The sequence below is a fragment of the Homo sapiens genome, chromosome 18, assembly GCF_000001405.40.
Source record: "Homo sapiens chromosome 18, GRCh38.p14 Primary Assembly".
In the NCBI taxonomy this organism is placed as follows: domain Eukaryota; kingdom Metazoa; phylum Chordata; class Mammalia; order Primates; family Hominidae; genus Homo; species Homo sapiens.
Window position 1 is genome coordinate 79,837,891 of NC_000018.10, and position 18,101 is coordinate 79,855,991.

The window sequence follows — 18,101 nt, forward strand, 5'->3', positions numbered from 1 at the left end:
ATTTTCACGCCTATACAGAACTACCTGAGACTGGGTAATTTATGAAGAAAAAAGGTTTAATTGACCCACAATTCCACATGGCTGGGGAGGCCTCAGGAAACTTACAGTCATGGCAGAAGGTGAAGGAGAAGCAAGACCTTCTTCACATGGTGGCAGGAGAAAGCGAGAGTGAGTGAAGGGAAAGTGCCTCACTTTTAAACCATCAAATCTCAGGAGAACTTGCTATCACAAGAACAGCAGGGGGGAACTGGCCCATAATCCAGTCACCTCCCACCAGGTCCCTCCCTTGACATGTGGTGATTACAAATCAAGATGAGATTTAGGTGGGGACACAGAGCCAAACCATATCAAAAGTATACCATAAAACAAATCTCAACAAATTTAAAAGAACTGAAATCATATAAGTGTTCTCAGTGTGGTTCTCTGAGCATAATGGAATAAAACTGGAAATCAATAATAGAATAATCTTCAAACACTGGAAATTTAAATCATACTTCTAAATAATCCTTGGGCCAAACAAGTCTTTTTTTTTTTTTTTCCTGAGACAATGTCTCTCTGTCGCCCAGGCTGACTGCAGTGATGCAATCATGGCTCATTGCAGCCTCGACCTCCTGGGCTCCAGCAGTCCTTCAACCTCAGCCTCCTGAGTAGCTGGGACCAAAGGTGTGCACCACCATGCCCAGCTAATTTTTAAATTTTTTGTAGAGATGGGGTCTCCCTGTGTTGCCCAGTCTGATCTTGAATTCCTGGGCTCAAGTGATCCTCCCACCTCAGCCTCTCAAAGTGTTGGGATTACAGGCATGAGCCACCTCACCTGGCCCAAAGAGGAAGTCTTAAGGGAAATCAAAACATACATTGAACAGAATGAAAATATATACACAACATATCAAAATTTGTGAGACCAAGCTATACAGTGTCAAGAGGGAAATTACATTAGAAAAAAGGAAAAACCTCAATGTACAATCTCAGGTCCCACCTGCAGTACCTAGAAGAGGAAGAGCAAAGCAAGTAGAAGGAATGAAATAATGAAGAGCAGAAGTCAATGGCGCTTAGCCCAGTAGAACAATAGGGAAAAGCAGTGAAACAAAGAGCCGACTCTTTGAAAGGATCAATAGAATAAACTTGGCCAGATGCAGTGGCTCACACCTGTAACCCCAGCACTTTGAGAGGCCAAGTCAGGAGGATCATTTGAGTCAGGAATCCAACACCAGCCTGGACAAGACCCCACCTCTACAAAAATATAAATTTAAAAATAAATTAGCAGAATATGTGGGCGCATGCCTGTCATCCCAGCTACTTGGGAGGCTGAAGGGAGAGGATCACTTGAGCCCAGGTCAAGGCTGCAGTGAGCCATGATCATGCCACTGCACTCCAGCCTGGACAACAGTGCAAGACCCTGACTCTAAATGCATAAATAAATAAATAATTCCTGGCAAGCCCAACAAAATTAAGAAGAGAGAAGACACACGTTACCAACGTCAGGAACAAAATAGAGGACATAACTGCATACCCTGTAGACATCAGAAGTGTGAGAAGGGAACCCTGCCAACAACTCTACATGCACATTTGACAGCCCAGATCTACTGGACCGATTCCTTGGAAAATACACACTACCACAATTCACCCAGTGTGAAATAGATCATGAGAATAGTCCTATAACTGTTAATAAACTTGAATTTGTAAATTAAAAATTCCTGAAAAAGCAATCTCCAAGCCCAGATGATTTCACTGGAGAACATCTAAACAACTAAACCTCTGAGTAAACATCTAAGGAAGAATTAACACCAATCTATACTGTCTTTTCCAAAAAATGGAAGAGGAGGGAACATTTTCTAAAACCTTATTAAATATTAGCAAATAGAAATCAGCAATACGTAAAAGGAATTATACACCATGGCCAAGTGGAGAGTTTATTCCAGGGATGCAAAGATGATTCAGTATTTAAATTCAATCAGTGTAAGCACCATATTGACAGGCTAAAGAAAAATCACATAATCATATAAGTTGATGCAAAAAACTTTTTAAATAACACCTCTTTTGATAAAAATTCTCAGAATATAGGAATCAAGGGGAAGTTTCTTGACTTGATAAAGAGTATCTACAAAAACCTTAGCTGACATACACTTAATGGTGAAAGACTGAATGTTCTTCCCCTCAGATGGAGAACAAGGCAAAAATGCTCACTTTCATCACTCTTATTCAACATATAACTGAAAGCTCTGGTCACTGCAGTGGGTAATAAAATGAAATAAAATGTATATAAGTTATAAAGGAAGAAATAAGACTGCCCCATTTGCAAATTACATGATTGTATACACAGAAAATCCCAAGAAATCTACAAAAAGCCAAAAAAAACTCTTAGAACTAATAAATGAATTCAGCAAGATTGCAAGACATAAGATAAACATACAAAATCAATACACTAGCAAGACACATGGATATCAAAATTAAACATAGAATATAATACCCTTTACAATTGTTCAACAAAATGAAATACTTAGGTATGAGTCTAGCAATACACATATAGAACTTTAATGCTGAAGACTACAAAAGGCAAATAAAAGAAATAATCTAAATAAATGGAGAGATGTATCATGTTCATTTATGGAATTAGCTTATTAAAAATGTCAGTTCTCCCCAAATTGATATAAAAATTTGAGGTTAAAATCCCAGTGATTTAAAAAATATATAGATGAGATTATCTAAAATTTATATAGAAAGTCAAGGGAACTAGAATAGGTAAAATTATTTGGAAAAGAAGAATAAAGTGGGGAAAATCCATCCACCTGATTTCAAGGCATGTTATATAGCTATAATAATTGACACTTTGTGGTATTGGTGGAGGGATATGTACATAGATCAGTGGAATAGAACAGAGAACCCAGAAATAGATCCACAAAAAAATTCCTGATTAACTTTGACAGAGGTTCAAAAGTGATTCAGTAAAGTAAATATAACCTTTTCAACAAACAATAAGACATCCATAAGCCAAAAAAAAATGAATCTTGACCTAATCCCACACCTTATACAAAAATTAACTCAAAATGGATCATGACTTACAATAAAACTATAAACATTACAAAAATAACAAGAGAAGCCTGGTTGTGGTGGCTGATGCCAGTAATTCCAGCACTTCTGGAGGTTGAGGCGGGTAGGATTACTTGAGCTCAGGAGTTCGAGACTAGCCTGAGCAACATAGTGAGGCCTTGTCTCTATGAAAAGAAAAAAAAGTCAGCCAGGCATGGTGGTGCACACCTGTAGTCCCAGCTACTCAGTAGACTGAGGTGGGAAGATTGCTTGAGCCTGGGAGATCAAGGTTGCAATGAGCTGTATAGAGGCTGCAGCAAGCCATGATCACACCATTGCACTGGTGTTGCCTGGGTGACAGAGCAAGACCCTATCTCATAATAAATAAATAAATAAATAATAACAGAAGAAAACCTTCGAGATGTTGGGCTAAGCAAATCATTCTTCACACCAAAAGCACAGCCAATAAAAGAAAAAAAGGATAAATTGGACTTTATCAAAATTCAAATATTTTGCTCTGCAAAAGACCTTGTGTGAAGGTTTTAAAGATAAGCTGTAGACTTTGAGAAAATATTTGCAAACTATATACCCAACTAAGTACTAGTATTAAAATGCGTTTAAAAACTCTCAAAACTCAACAGCAAAATAACAATCCAAATAGAAAATGAGCAAAACACATGAAAAGATATTTCACCAAAGAGAATAGATGACAAAGAAGTGCATTAAAAGGTCTTCAGTGTCACTAGCTATTAAGAACATGCAAATTAAAAGACAGTGAGGAGTGATGTCATCAAGATAGCAAAATAGGAGTTTCCAGTTTTCATACTCTTAGAGAAACAGTTTGAACAACCATCCACACACAAAAATACCTTCACAAGAACTAAGGAATCCAGGTGAGAGATTAGCACCTGAATGGAGCACAGGAATAAGGAAAGACTCATTGAAAAAGGAAGGAGAGTTTCACATTAACTCATACCACTCTTCCCCCAAGTCCACATAGCACAATATGGAGATACTCTCCACATGGAAGGAGAACGAAGCGAGCACTCAACTTCACTGTGGACCCCAATACTAGGTCCCTCCCCCTCCCCAGAGTGAACCTTGATGCCAGGCTGGCCCCTGCAGACCCAGGTGCCAGGACTGCAGCTACAGGCCTAGCCTCCAGGCCCACCCTAGCTCCAGGCAAGTCCTCGCAGCCACATGCTCCAGGCCTACCCCAGCACAAGGGTGGCCTCTGCAGCCCAGGTACCAGGTTGGCCCTTGCAGACCCAGATACCGCCTACTCATGCAGACCCAAACTCCAGGCCTGTCCCATGGACCCAGGCCCCAAGCTGGCCCTTGTAAACCCAGGCAGCAAGCTAACCTGCCTGAGGACTCCAGCAGCAGGCCTTCATATGGAAGCACCCTTGCCCAGATAATCTCTGGGTGGGCTGACTGATAAAGGGCTCTCCTTGCCAAAGCCAGTTTATAAAGACTGGAAGAGGTGCTTGCTTCTTTAAATACTCAGATACCAATGCAAGGGCACAAGGATCATGAATAATCAGGGAACATGACATCACCAAATACACAAAATAAAGCACCAATAATGAAACCTAAAGAAATGGAGATCTACAAACAGCCTGACAAAGAATTCAAAATAATAATCTTAAAGAAGCTCAGTGAGCTACAAGAGAACACCAATAGACAACTAAACAAAAATCAAGAAAATAATACATGAGCAAAATTAGAAGTTCAACAACAAAGAGATAGAAAGCATAAAAAAGACCCAAACAGAAATTCTGGAGATAAAGCACGCATGATTGAATTGAAAAATCCATAGAGATTTCAACAGTAGACTCAATTAAGCAGAAGAAAGAATCAGCAATCTCAAAGATAGGACATTTGTAGTTATTCAATCAGAAGAGCAAGAAAAGTGTGAAGAAATCCTAGAGACTTATGGACTGCCAGCAAGCAAATCAATATATGCATTATAGGTGTTCCAGAAGGAGTGGAGAATGAAAAAGGGGAAGAAAGCTTATTTAAAGAAACAGTGATGGAAAACTTCCCAAATTTAGAGAGGGAAATAAACATCCAGATCCATGAAGCCCAAAGAACCCCAAATAGATTAAACATAAAGAGATATTTACCAAGACACATTATAATAAAATTCTCAAAAGTCAAGGACAATGAGAATCTTGAAAGCAGCAAAGAAATCCATTTATCACATATAAGGGAACTTCCCCATAAGAATATTGGCATATTTCTCAACAGAAACCTTGCAGGCCAGGAGAGAGTGGGATGATATATTCAAAGTGCTGGAAAAAAAAAGTCAACCAAGAATATTATACTCGGCAAAGCTGTCCTCCAGAAATTAAGGAGTGATAATTATTTTCCCGGACAAACAAAAGCTTAGGGAGTTTATCACCACTAAATCTGCCTTACCAGAAATGCTGAATGTTCTTCAAATTGAAATGAAAGCTCACTAATAGCATGAAAAAATATTAAAGGATAAAACTTACTGTAAAGGTAAGAATATAGTCAAATTCAGAATGTTCTAATACTGTAATGGTGAGTCATAAGTCACCTGTAACCCCAGCATAAAAGTAGAAAGACAAAAGTATTAAAAATAAGTATAGCTACAGTAATTTGTTAATGGATACATAATATATAATGTAAATTGTGACATCAGTAACATAAAATGTGTGAGAAGAAAAAGTATAGTTTTTGTTTACAGTTGAAGTTAAGTTGTTATCAGCTTAAATAAACTGTTACAACTAAAAGATATTTTATGTATGCCTCATGGTAACTAAAAAGAAAAAAATTGTAATAGATACACAAAAGAGAAAGAGAAAGGAATCAAAGCATACGCTATGAAAAAATTATCGCATCACAAAGAAGACAGCAAAAGAGGAAGAAACAATCAAAGGAACTACAAAACAGTTGAGAACAATTAACAAAATGGTGGTAGTAATTTCTAACCTATCAATAATTACTTTAAATTTAAATGGATGAAATTCTCCAATCAAAAGACATAGAATCACTGAATGGATTTTAAAATAAAATCCAACCCTGTGCTGCCTACAAGAGACTTGGTTTAGCTTTAAGGATATACATAGGCTGAAAGTGAAAGAGACAGAAAAAGATATTCCATGCAAATGGTAACCAAAAGAGAGCAGGGGTGTTTATACTTATATCAGACAAAATATATCTGCACTCTCATGATCATTGTAGCATCATTCACAATAGCCAAGATATGAAATCCACCTAAGTGCCCATTCATGGATGAGTGGCTGAAGAACATGTTATTGACATATACACACAGAGACACACACACAACAAAACATCATTCAGCCTTGAGAAATGTGTAATGAACCTGGAGGATGTTATGCTAAGTGAAATAAGCTGGGTATAGAAAAACAGTAATGTGTGATCTCACTCGTATGTGGAATCTAAGAAAGTTGAACTCACAAGCAGAGAGAATGGTGGTTGCCAGGGGATTGGGGGTGGAGGAAGTGATGTTGATCAAAGGGTACAAAGTTTTAGTTATACAAGATTAATCACTTCCAGAGATCTAACATGCAGCATGGTGACTATAGCTAATAATACTATAGTGCATACTTGAATTTTTCTAAGACAGTAGATCTTAAATGTTCTCACCACACACAAAATGGTAACTGTGCAAAGTGATGGATATATTCATTAGCTTGATTGTGGTAATCATTGCACAATGCATTCATATATCAAAACACTACAGTGTGCACTTTTAATTAGACATCAATAAAGTGGGACAAATGAATACAATAAGATGTCACCACACAGCTATGAGAATGCCTAAAATTAAAAACGGTGATATCAAGTGCTGGCAAGGATGCTGAGAAACTGTTTCTCTCATACATTGCTGGTGGGAATGTCAAGTAGTACAACCACTCCAGAAAGAATTTGGCAGTTGCTTTAAAAACTAAATATGCAACTAGCCAGTCAGTAAGGGGGAAAAGGATAAATTGAATTTTATCAAAAGTAAAACCTGTTGCTCTGATGAGCATTTACCCCAGAGAGGAAAAGCAAACTGTGTGGAAATGCTTATACCACTGTGTTCATAATAGCCAAATCCTGGAAATAACCAAAATGTTCTCCCACTTGTGGTTAAACAAACTCTGGTGCATCCATCCCATGGAATACTACTCTGCAGTAAAAAGGGATGAACTCCTGATGTATTCAGCAACCCAGATGAATCTCCAGGGAATTATTCTGAATGGAAAAAGCCAATCCTAAAAGGTTACGTAGGGTGTGGTTCAACATTCATAACATTCTTGAAATGACAATATTATGACGATGAAGAACAGATGAACAGTTTCCAGGGGTTCAGGAGGAGGTGGCTGGGAAGGCAGGGGGTGTGGCTGTGAATCCGCAGGAGGGACCCTTGTGTGAGGAGAGCTCTGTGTCTGGATGTGTCCATGTCGGCGTCCCGGTGGAGAAGGCGTTCCACGGTTTTGGGGAGGCTACCACGGGGAAAACTGAGTAAAGGGTGCAAGGGTGCCCGTGTATTTTCTCTTACAACTGCATGTGAATCTGCAATTACCTCAAAATTTGATTTTGAAACTTTTTGGAGCAATTATATGCAGCTGTACTGTACATACCCTGCTTTGTGGATAAGAGTTATTAATTACCAAATTTCTATGTGTATTATAGACTTGGAGATTGTGTCCCATAAATCATAATTGAAAAATAATTGTCAATTTCTCAGTCAAAAACATGGCTAAAAATGGATCTCATTAGCAAGTTCTCTTCTGAACAGAACCAAAACCTTGCTAATTAGATCTTATATACTTCATTTTATACACGTGTGTATTTATGAAAAATAAAACCCCTTTATAATTTATGGAACTTTGGCATATAGAAAATAAAAGTGGCTGGGCGCAGTGGCTCACGCCTGTAATCCCAGCACTTTGGGAGGCCGAGGCAGGCGGATCATGAGGTCAGGAGATTGAGATCATCCTGGCTAATACAGTGAAACCCCGTCTCTACTAAAAAATACAAAGAAAAAATTAGCCAGGCGTAGTGGCGGGCCCCTGTAGTCCCAGCTACTCGGGAGGCTGAGGCAGGAGAATGGCGTGAACCCAGGAGGTGGAGCTTGCAGTGACCTGAGATGGCGCCACTGCACTCCAGCCTGGGCGAAAGAGTGAGACTCTGTCTTGGCTGGGCGCGGTGGCTCACGCCTGTAATCCCAGCACTTTGGGAGGCCGAGGCAGGTGGATCACAAGGTCAGGAGATCAAGACCATCCTGGCGAACATGGTGAAACCCTGTCTCTACTAAAAAATACAAAAAATTGGCCAGGCGTGGTGGCGGGCGCCTGTAGTCCCAGCTACTTGGGAGGCTGAGGCAGGAGAATGGCGTGAACTTGGGAGGTGGAGCTTGCAGTGAGCTGAGATCGTGTGCCACTGCAGTCCAGCCTGGGCAACAGAGCGAGACTCCGTCTCAAAAAAAAAAAAAAAAAAAAAGAGTGAGACTCTGTCTCAGAAAAAAAAAAGAAAGAAAATAAAAGTATTTCAAATCAAAATAGTTGAGACTCACATGTGAACTCATATGTGTATCAGAAAGAGATTACAGGAATGATGCTAATATTACTCATCTTTAGTTTACAACAAAAATCTCCTGAGTCATATTTTATTCAAAATTATTTATGTTTGGCTTTTTTTAACCCATGGGTGATTATAGTCTTAATTCATCTAATGTTTTTCTTGATAGGACAAGTAAGAATTGAAAAATAAAAAATTCATTGGCACACTAAATATTAGCCTGGAACTGAAGTTAGATACATTGTATTTTAGACAGTTCTCAGCTGCAGTCGTATGCTCACTGATTGGTTGAAGAAGTCATCTTGTTTAGATGGTTTTTCCAGTTGTCGCATGGCCCTGTTTGTGAACCCGTGTCACCGCCGAGGTTAACAGTTCCAGCTGAAAGGCAAAGTGTGCATCTGGATGAAGGCCCCACTGAGGAGCCTAGAATAGTCTTCCTGAAAGGTGTGTGTAGGTCGCAAGGGTCTCATTTCCTGCAAACGAACTCGTTTGGCCACAGGGCAGCCGGTGGTAAGAAGACATGGGGAAGGTAAGTGACACCTGAACCAAATTTGTGAAGATGCCAGAACAGAGGCAGGCAGCGGCTGATGAAAGCATTTATCTGCAATGGCTGGATTATCTGGCAACATCTACTGCATGACAAATGCTTTAAGTCCTGAACAGTTGGCTTCTGAGCTTCAGTGAAAAATCCTCTGAGCTTCCTCCTTGCTTTGCTCCTCCTCGGATGTCAGCCCTCCTGGCCTCGTACAAGGTCCCCCAGGTGCCTTGGGATGTGGGGCTTCTCCGTCTGGAACTGTGGACGTTTGGGGTCGGATAGCTTTGCTGGGAGCCATCCTGGGCACTGTGGGTGTTGAACAGTATCCCTGGCCTCCATGCCTCCATGCCAGGAGCATCCCCAGTCAAGACAATCAAAACCTGGACATTGCCAGGTGCCCCGTGGGAACTGAGGGTCGCAGTGGATCCCAGTCGAGAAGCCCTGGTCTGGAAACCACGCTAAGCGATCTTTACCCGGCAGTGCGGACCACGCTCCCTGTGGAAGCCTTGGTGGGTCTTGCTCATGTAGATTAACAGCCCCACTAACTGCAAAGCACCCGCCCCATGAGCCCTCATCCATGTATGTAATAAGCATGTACAGAGATTCTAATTTTAACTCAGAATGGTAAATATTATTATATCCCAGTGACTTCTCCTTATTGATTACATTTGAAAAATCCTGATACTCTGGGTAGTGGCAGTTGCAGCTTTTCCCGGTGACACACACTCATGTTGCATGTAGAACCGCACTTGCTCTGGCATCCTGGAGGCTGGCACCTGGCTTGCTGGCGGCAGTGGGGCCACGTGTCCCCTGGGCCGGGCTCATGATCAGGGATGGTGGTGACACAATGCCCGAGGCACTAAACTTGTGGTCCAGTTAAGCCACAATTTAATTTAAACTGCTTGAGAGTCCATTTCATTTATGTATGTGTATTTAGCCAGATTTAAACAAAATAGTCACTGTTTTCCTTGGGACTGAAGGAGTGGATTGGCAGGGGGGAATCCTGGGCAAACAGGGAGTGAGGGATGGGGTGCGGTGCATGGACCCTGACCTGGGGCCCTGAGCACAGCGAACTTGCAGAGCTTCTCCCGGTGAAGGCAGAATGTCTGAAACCCTAGCGTGGGCTCAGCAGCTGCCAGGGGCCAGTGATGAACGCCAACCTCATCTGTCCTCGATCCCTGAGGCTAATGGTGACGCATATGCTTCTAAGTAGGGTTTGCCTTTTGCTTGGAAGGAAATGTTATAATTATTTCACCCTAACCCGCTGCATTCGTTGCTTAGAGCTGCGCAGCCTAAAACACCAGAAATGTATTCTCTCAACCCCGGGAGTCCCAAGTACAGAGTAGGGGTCCGCAGGCCTGTGCTGTCTCTGAACCGCTGGGGAGGGGCCTGCGTTGCCGCTCGGGCTCCTGCAGCACCGGCCATCGTCAGCCCTCCTTGGCTGTGACCTCGGCCTCTGCATCCCACGGCCTCAGTGTCGGCCTCTCCCCTCTTATGGGGACATCCGTCCCTGGACTCAGGCCCACCCTAGGGGCCTTGTCTTAGCCACACGCGAAAAGACCCTGTTTCCCCATGAAGTCCGTCTCACAGGTCCCGGGGCTGAGACTCGCACACACTTCCGGGGACGCAGTGGAACCCACAGCTCTGCCTTTGGGCAGCAGCCGCGTGGGGGAAGGAGGTGGGGACGGTGGCCCACGGGCTGGGGCACAGCTGGACGGTTCTGTGTATTTCGCTGAAGAAGCATCCTGTCGCCATGCCTGCCCCCGGGAGCTTCCGTTCCCCAGAGGCCGCGGCATTCCCGGTGAAGCCAGACTGCCCGGCTGGAAGAGCCTCCTCCCTGAGGAGTGGCCCCGGGCAGGTGGCCTCAGCCCTCTGTGCCTCGGTCCGCATGGGGCCCTGGTACCCACGGCATAGGCTGTTAGGGGTTAATGACCGCCTGGCGCCTGTGAATTTCTCTGTGTTTGTTGAATCAACAAAGTAAAAGAGCCGTGGATAATGAGTGCTTCCTGGACACGGGACCCGTGCGGACACAGGAGAGGCCTGGGCCCGCGTTCTCCCTCCCACGCAGGCCACTCGGCCGCTCTGCACGCCAGGCCCCGCCTCCACATCGAGCCCCTCTGCCAGCCCCACCCTGTCTTCAGTCAGCCTCCCTTAGAGGGAGCCCAGACCTCGCAGCCTGGACCCCTCAACCTCCACAGCCTCCCCAGAGGGGCCTCCGAGCGTGGTCCCGTCCTTAGCCCCTAATTCCTTTATTCGGAATTCTAATGTTCTCACTGAGCTCTGACTAGGCGCAGGCGACGTCCCGGGCAGCAGAAAACAAATCACACACAACCCGCCCTCCCAGCGCTGAGCTTCTGGGGGGCACAGGCGCCCCTCTTGGCTCAGAAGGTGGGGCCCTGCACCCCCATCTGACCCCATCCTCTGCCCTGTGCTGGGGCAGGTGCGTCCGACCTCATCCGGGGCAAGGTCGTCCGCGTGCAGGAGCCGCATCTGGACAGGCCGCACCTGCCTTCCCTCCCCGCCTTGCTCTGCGTCAGCCTAGGAGCCTCCTGTCCTGGCCGCGGGTTACACCAAGCGCGGCGGTAAAGACAACCGTTGTTTCTTAGCTGTCGTGGTTTCTGAGGGCCCAGCGCGGACGCTTGCCTTTCTCTGCTGCGTGAAGTCTGGGCCTCGGCTGGAGGCAGAGCGGAGGCTGGGGCCACCGGAAGCCTTGTTCTTGCGTGGCTGGGGGCTGATGCTGGCTGCCGGCCGCCCTGGGTGGCGTGGGAGCAGGAGCGCGTGGAAGACCCAGCCTCTCTGAGAGCCCCCCACGTAATCACACAGTGAGAGGTCCGCTGTGGTTTAGTGGGAGGAACCCGAGACTCCACCCAGGCTGAGTGGGAGGGAGGCGAGACCCCACCTGGCCGTGGGAGGAACCCGAGACCCCACCCAGGCTCAGTGGGAGGGAACGGAGACCCCACCTGGCCGTAGGAGGAGTGTCCCGCGCACCTAAAGGGCTGACAGGGCCGTGTGAAAACCCGCCGGGGTCGCTGGTCCTGGCTCTCCTGACCTTCTGCCTCCCCGCTACCCTCATCCATGTACCCAGCACACACGTGCACACATACGTGGATAAATGGAATAAACATAAACTTCACCCAGACAGCCGAAGCCCCTCCCTCTGTCTAATCACATGCATGGATACATGGATATATAAATAAATATCAACTTTACTCATACAGCCGAAGCCCCTCCCTCTCTCTAATCACATCTTCCTCCCTCTCCATGCAGAGGTGATTAAAGTTTGTATAAAATTGGGATTATTCTGTTCCTTGAATATCTGGTAGAACTCTTGATAAAGTCATTTGAGTTTGATTTGTAAAGAGATTTGTAATTACTCTTTCAGTTCTTTAGCAATTTTGTATTTATTCAGAGTTCCTATTTCTTAAGTCAATTCTAGTAGTCCATGTTTTATTCAGAGTTCCTATTTCTGAAGTCAATTCTAGTCCATGTTTTATTGTCTTTATTGGCATGAAGCCATCCAGAGTGTTTTCTCATGACGTTCTCTTCTCTACCAGATCTGATGTTATTTTCTTTTCTGATCTTCATCTTTAAATTTGAGCCTTCTCTTCTTTCCCCTCGATTCTGTTATTGTTTCCTTTCCTGCTCGTCGTTTTGAGAATGCGTTTTGGCCTCTCTGCCTTTCTTTGGGTTTTCACAGTAAGACAATCTGAAATTTTTTAGCTATGATGAGTTTCTTCTTAAAGTTACTAAGCGTACAGGCTTCATAGTGTAAATCCTTTTCTGTGAGTTTCTTTGTATAAAACTAAGAGAGATCATGGCCCAGTAAGAACTCAAACGCACGTTGCTTTTGTACCCACGAGGGCAGGCGCCGGACCAGGTGGTTCAAGACCAGGTGGCCGCACAGAGTGGACGGGGCCTGCGGTTCCAGCTCTCATGCCGAACATCCGTGGAGTCTTCGTGTTACCAGAAAGGGGTCCCAATCCAGACCCCCAGAGAGGGTTCTTGGACCTTGTGCAAGAAAGAATTCAGGACATGTCTGCCGTGTGCAGCAAAAGCAAGTTTATTAAGAAAGTAAAGGTGAATCGGCAGCTGCTGCATAGACAGAGCAGGACGTTCCCGAGAGTAAGAGGAGGAACACGTACAATGCTTGTTTATATACAAGACAAAAAAAAAGATCATAGGGAGATGTGCTCTGCTACAAGGGTTTGTGATAAAGGATTGATTTTCTTTATTAGTATATTTTGCAAGAATCAATATTATCTTTAAAGCAAAATTGGGAATGCTTCTGTTCTCAAGATATCGGGATATCAGGACACTCCTAAGTCTGGGTCTGTTTAGTAAACGTTATCAATCTGTTCCCGTAGCCATAAGCATCTAGAGTCTAGGAATACCCAACTTCCTGGGAGTCAGCCCAGCAAGTCCCAGCCTCACTTTCCAGCCCTCAGTCAAGATGGAGTAGCTCCGGCTGGAGCGCCTCCGACACTCAGAGGATGCACATGATATTAAACCAGTAAGAGCAGACACTGCAGATACTACCCTTGATCTCAAGGAAGTGACCTGATAGCCTTTTCAAGCTACGCTGTGTGTGTGCATGTGCGGGTGTGTGAGAGTGTGTGTGTATGTGCGGTGTGCAAGTGTGAGTGAATGTGTGTGAATGTGTCAATGTGTGTGAATGTGTATGCCTGTGTGAATGTATGTGTGTGTGAACGTGCATGTGTGTGAATGTGTATGCCTGTGTGAATGTATGTGTGTGTGTGACTGTGAATGCGTGTGTGAATGTGCATTGTGTGAATGTGTGTGAATGTGCATGTGAATGGGTGTGTGTGAATATGAGTGTGTGTGCACGTGTGCGTGTGAGGACTTATGCACCAGGACTATTCTAGGCATCTGCATTGGCTGTCAGTCCTCACAACAGCCTTGTAAGGTAGGTGCTATTCTATTAGGATTTATTTTCGTTTTATAGATGCAGAATGTGAGGCTTAGCAAAATTAAGTCGGTTTTTCAGGGCTGTTTGGCCCTTGCGGACCGCGGCACTCACCTGGGTCCGTCTGCACTAGCTCTAATTGTTAACGCTGCAATGAGGCTCTGCTCGTTAGACATCCTGTGAGGACTTGGGTTGGGGCCGGAATTGGGGGGATGGCAAGCGCTGTGTGTGCATGAGTGACACTTCACTACCGCCAGCAGGGTCCCCCGCCTCCAGTGACCTTGTTTCGGGGAAGCGCGCTCCCATTTCCCAAGCGCCCGCCCCGGGGAAAACGTGGCGTGGGCATCGTTATTTCCAATAACGCGCCATCTATCTCCAGCAGCGCAAACGATGCCTGCTCTGAACAGTTCAACCCCATGAGGAACATTTTGTATTCAACTTAATCTTTGCTTTATGTCTGTAATATCAAAGCATGTCTAAAGAGCCCGTGCACGGTCAGAATCTATTTAATTGTGCATAAGCGATTTCGACTTTAATTAAGGAAGCGGGGGAAGCGTTCCCTTAGCTCTCAGCCCCTGCACTCGCAGAGAGCATCTCAGTACAGGGGCCACTGGGAGCCCAGTTCCAGCCTCCTTTGAGGTGCCTGGGACCACTTGGGCTTCGCCCTGACAGTGACGATCGCATTCCTCGAAGATCACCGTTGTCCATGCGGATGGCGGCTCACCAGCGCCTGCACCTGGGCGTGGGCCACCCTCTGGAGATGAGCTGGACTTTGAAGCCACCGACGGGGAATGAAGTGGCTTCTCCAGCTTCCCGGCCAATCAGGGGCGGAGCCGTAATTAAAGTCCAGGCCTCCTGCCCGGTTCAGGGTTCTTTCTGGTACAAACCAGTGTCCCTGTGAGGACGGGCCTCCTGCCCAGTTCAGGGTTCTTTCTGGTACAAAGCAATGTCCGTGTGGGGATGCAGCCTCCTACCTTAGCAGAGTCTTTGTCATTTCTTTGGGGGTACCTGTGTCAGTGCAGACCAGTTCCACCCACTCCCACCGTGGGGCAGGCCCTGGGCTGGACACGGCACCGCGTGGATGCCCCGTGTGTGCTGGACGCCGAGAGCATCCCAGGCAGCCTGAGACCATTCCTTCCCTTGTCTGTCCCTGCGGCAGTGCGTCCTGGTCACTTGTGTGTGCCCTGAAGTGTTCCCAGGAATACGAGGGTGGGCAAAGCGGACAGTGGGCATGTCCTCGAGACGTTTACATCCTAGCGGGAGTGGACAGAAAATAACACTGGGTAAAAATAATGCACTAATCATTTAGTGCTTTAGGGGAGAAAAGAAAGAACGCAGCAAAGTGAGGTGGGCCTGGGCTTCAGCGTGAACCAAGTGGTGCAGGTGAGTCTGACGAGAGGTCAGGTTTGAGCAAACGCCGAGCGTGAGGGGTCACCATGGGGTGAGGGGTCACCGTAGGCGTCACTGAGCAGCTGTTCAGGCAGAGGAATGGCTGTGCTGAGGCCTGAGGCGGGACTCGCCTGGGTGCCGAGGGGAGCAAGGAGAGGCAGGACAGACCAGCCTAGTTAGGGCTGTGAGCTCTGGCGTTTTGAGCAGAGGGTGGTGTGCAGTGTTAGGAGGCCCCTCTGATCGCTGAGCTGGGAACAGAGGGCAAGAGGAGGAGGCGGGAACCTGCTAGGGCTGTGGGTGCAGCGGACAGGAAGCTCAGAGCAGAGGCTGCAGCGAGTCAGGAGCTTCCAGATGCCAGGCAGCCGGTGTCAGCAGCACGTAGCTGTGGGTGACCCCCAAGGACTCTGGCGGAAGGCCTGAGTGGGACTAGAGGCCAGGCCCAAAGCCTCAACATCTGTGCTGGGGGGATGGCCCCGCGCCGGGGACAGATGTGGCTCCCTCCAGGGCCCGAGACGGGCGCCACCCCAGGGCGGGCACTACTTGAGTGGCAGGTGCCTCGACCCTGTGGGCCTCAGGGCCAAGTGGGGAGCTGGCTCAGGGGGCTTCCCCCTCTGGTTTCCAACCTCGGGGTCCAGCCTGTGAAACAGCACAGACCAGTTTCCAGTGGAATCCACCACGCATGGGAGGAATGAGCAGGCCGATGTCCAGGGTAGCCCTGCCTGGTTCCAACCCCGTTCTGCAGGCGGCCCCTGGGGAGCACTGGCTGCACCTACAACTGTTTCCTGGTCGTGGGCTCAGGCATCCAGGACTGGCCGCGGAGGGAAGGCAGGGGGCTGCCTGTCCACAGGAGGAGCAGAGCCCGGCCTTCTGCTTCCATCACTGCCCGGCAGAGCCTCACTGTCCCAGCCCCGTTCACCAGAGCCCCCAGCCCCTGTGTGAGGGCAGCAGTGGCCGTGTGTGCCTGGGTGCCGTGTCCTGCCTGGACGCCGTCACAACACTCACATGCAGAAACACAAGAGCTTTCCCATTCCCCAAGCTCGGCATCAATTTCCCCTGGTTACGTTTATTTTAAAAGTAAATGTTACAGAGGTCCCCGTGGAGGGCCCAGGGGTGCACGATTCCTCATCCTCAAAGAGCCTTTAATGATAGACCTCCTGCCTTCCGTAAGGCTGGTAAAATCCAAGTCTTTATACATTGCCTTTCATTGGCTTTTTTTTTTTTTTGAGACAGGGTCTCGCTCTGTTGCCCAGGCTGGAGTGCGGTGGCGTGATCTTGGCTCACTGCAAGCTCCACCTCCCGGGTTCACGCATTCTCCTGCCTCAGCCTCCCGAGTAGCTGGGACTACAGGTGCCCACCACCACGCCCGGCTAATTTTTTGTATTTTTAGTAGAGACGAGGTTTCACCGTGGTCTTGATCTCCTGACCACGTGATCCGCCCGCCTTGGCCTCCCAAAGTACAGGGATTACAGGTGTGAGCCACCGTGCCTGGCCTCATTGGCTTATTCTTCTGAGCTTCCTGGTAAACCACTTTTGGTGATTTTACTTTCTCCTCCATGTGTGACTTTTCTGTAATATTTGTCTCCTGTGGACCCCGATGCCTCCAGGAGACAGTCCTCAGCGTGAGATCTTTCTACGGTCAATCTTGTCTACCGACTGTACTTTTTCATTTCTAGTTTTGTTTCTTATTTAGATTCTCTGGGGGTTTTTTTGTTTTTTGTTTGTTTGTTTTATTTTTTGTAATGTCTTTGCTTTCCCTAGTGTTTTTAATTCCTTCGTTCATTATTTTCTGTAATTCTATTTTCTAAAGTTCCCAGGAGGCTGTGTGTGCTGGCATGTGCTCACGGTGGACTGTTGCTGTGTGTGGTTTGTCATTTTAGTTTCAGTTCATCTTGGCTGGGGCTTTGTCTGTGGGAATCCCATGAGGCTTGAACTGAGAGTGCCTCTGGGCCAGTGCCCTGCTGACATTGGGCTGCAAACTTCTTTGCTCTGGGGGCCCGTCCTGTGCAGGGTGTTGGCAGTGTCTCTGGTTTCTACCCACTGGATGCCAGTCACGGTAGTCGTGACCATCACAGATGTCTGCAGACCTTGCGGGCTGCCCTGGGGCAGAATCACCCCCACTGCTGGGAACTGCCGCTTTGACTGGTTCTCTGCTTGGTTCTGTCAGTTTCAGGGGTATCACTGGCCTGCGACCACCTTTGTGCGTGATCATGTCTTGGCTGTATCACCCACCAAAATTCCAGCCTCACCCCACTGTGCATGCTAGGCTCGTAGACACACAGCATTGTTTTTGACCTGGCCAAGCAGAGAGGCCTTGAAACCTTCTGGTACTGGCTGGTGGGTTTCCTTCCCGATCACCCTCCGTGGAGGGGACCCTGCACGGCCCCTGCTTTCCTTAGATCAGTTCAGCCTCTGCCCTCGTGCTGTGACGGCCATTCCCGTTCACCTCTGTCGTCACTGAACCAGACCCCACACTCTTGACAAGAGTGTGTCGTCAAACTGGTTGATCTAGTCTAATACCTGTGGCAATTCAAGATGCTTATTTTTGCTCTTATGAATGAAATTGAGCATTTTTTCATATGTTGGAAGCCTTTTCCCCCTTTGATGTGAACTTTATGTCAGTTGGCCCATTTTTTCTATTGAGCTGTGCGTTGTCTTTCTTTTTCTGACGTT

General features: G+C 46.6%; 1 protein-coding gene across 1 annotated transcript in view, besides 2 other annotated features; it reads left to right on the top strand.

Moving 5' to 3' along the window:
• The window catches only part of KCNG2 (potassium voltage-gated channel modifier subfamily G member 2), a 102,163-nt gene that overhangs the window by 39,953 nt on the left and 44,109 nt on the right, over positions 1-18,101 (top strand). The gene's annotated exons all lie outside the window — the stretch shown is intronic.
• Positions 3,736-4,236: an enhancer, noted in NCBI's record as "H3K4me1 hESC enhancer chr18:77601626-77602126 (GRCh37/hg19 assembly coordinates)". NCBI's record gives its function as "activates a minimal SCP1, AML or CMV promoter by ChIP-STARR-seq in naive H9 embryonic stem cells {active_cell/tissue: H9 hESC(naive)}" and the evidence as "EXISTENCE:reporter gene assay evidence [ECO:0000049][PMID:30033119]".
• Positions 17,300-17,379: a silencer, noted in NCBI's record as "silent region_9578". NCBI's record gives its function as "represses an Ori minimal core promoter by ATAC-STARR-seq in GM12878 lymphoblastoid cells {active_cell/tissue: GM12878}" and the evidence as "EXISTENCE:reporter gene assay evidence [ECO:0000049][PMID:35858748]".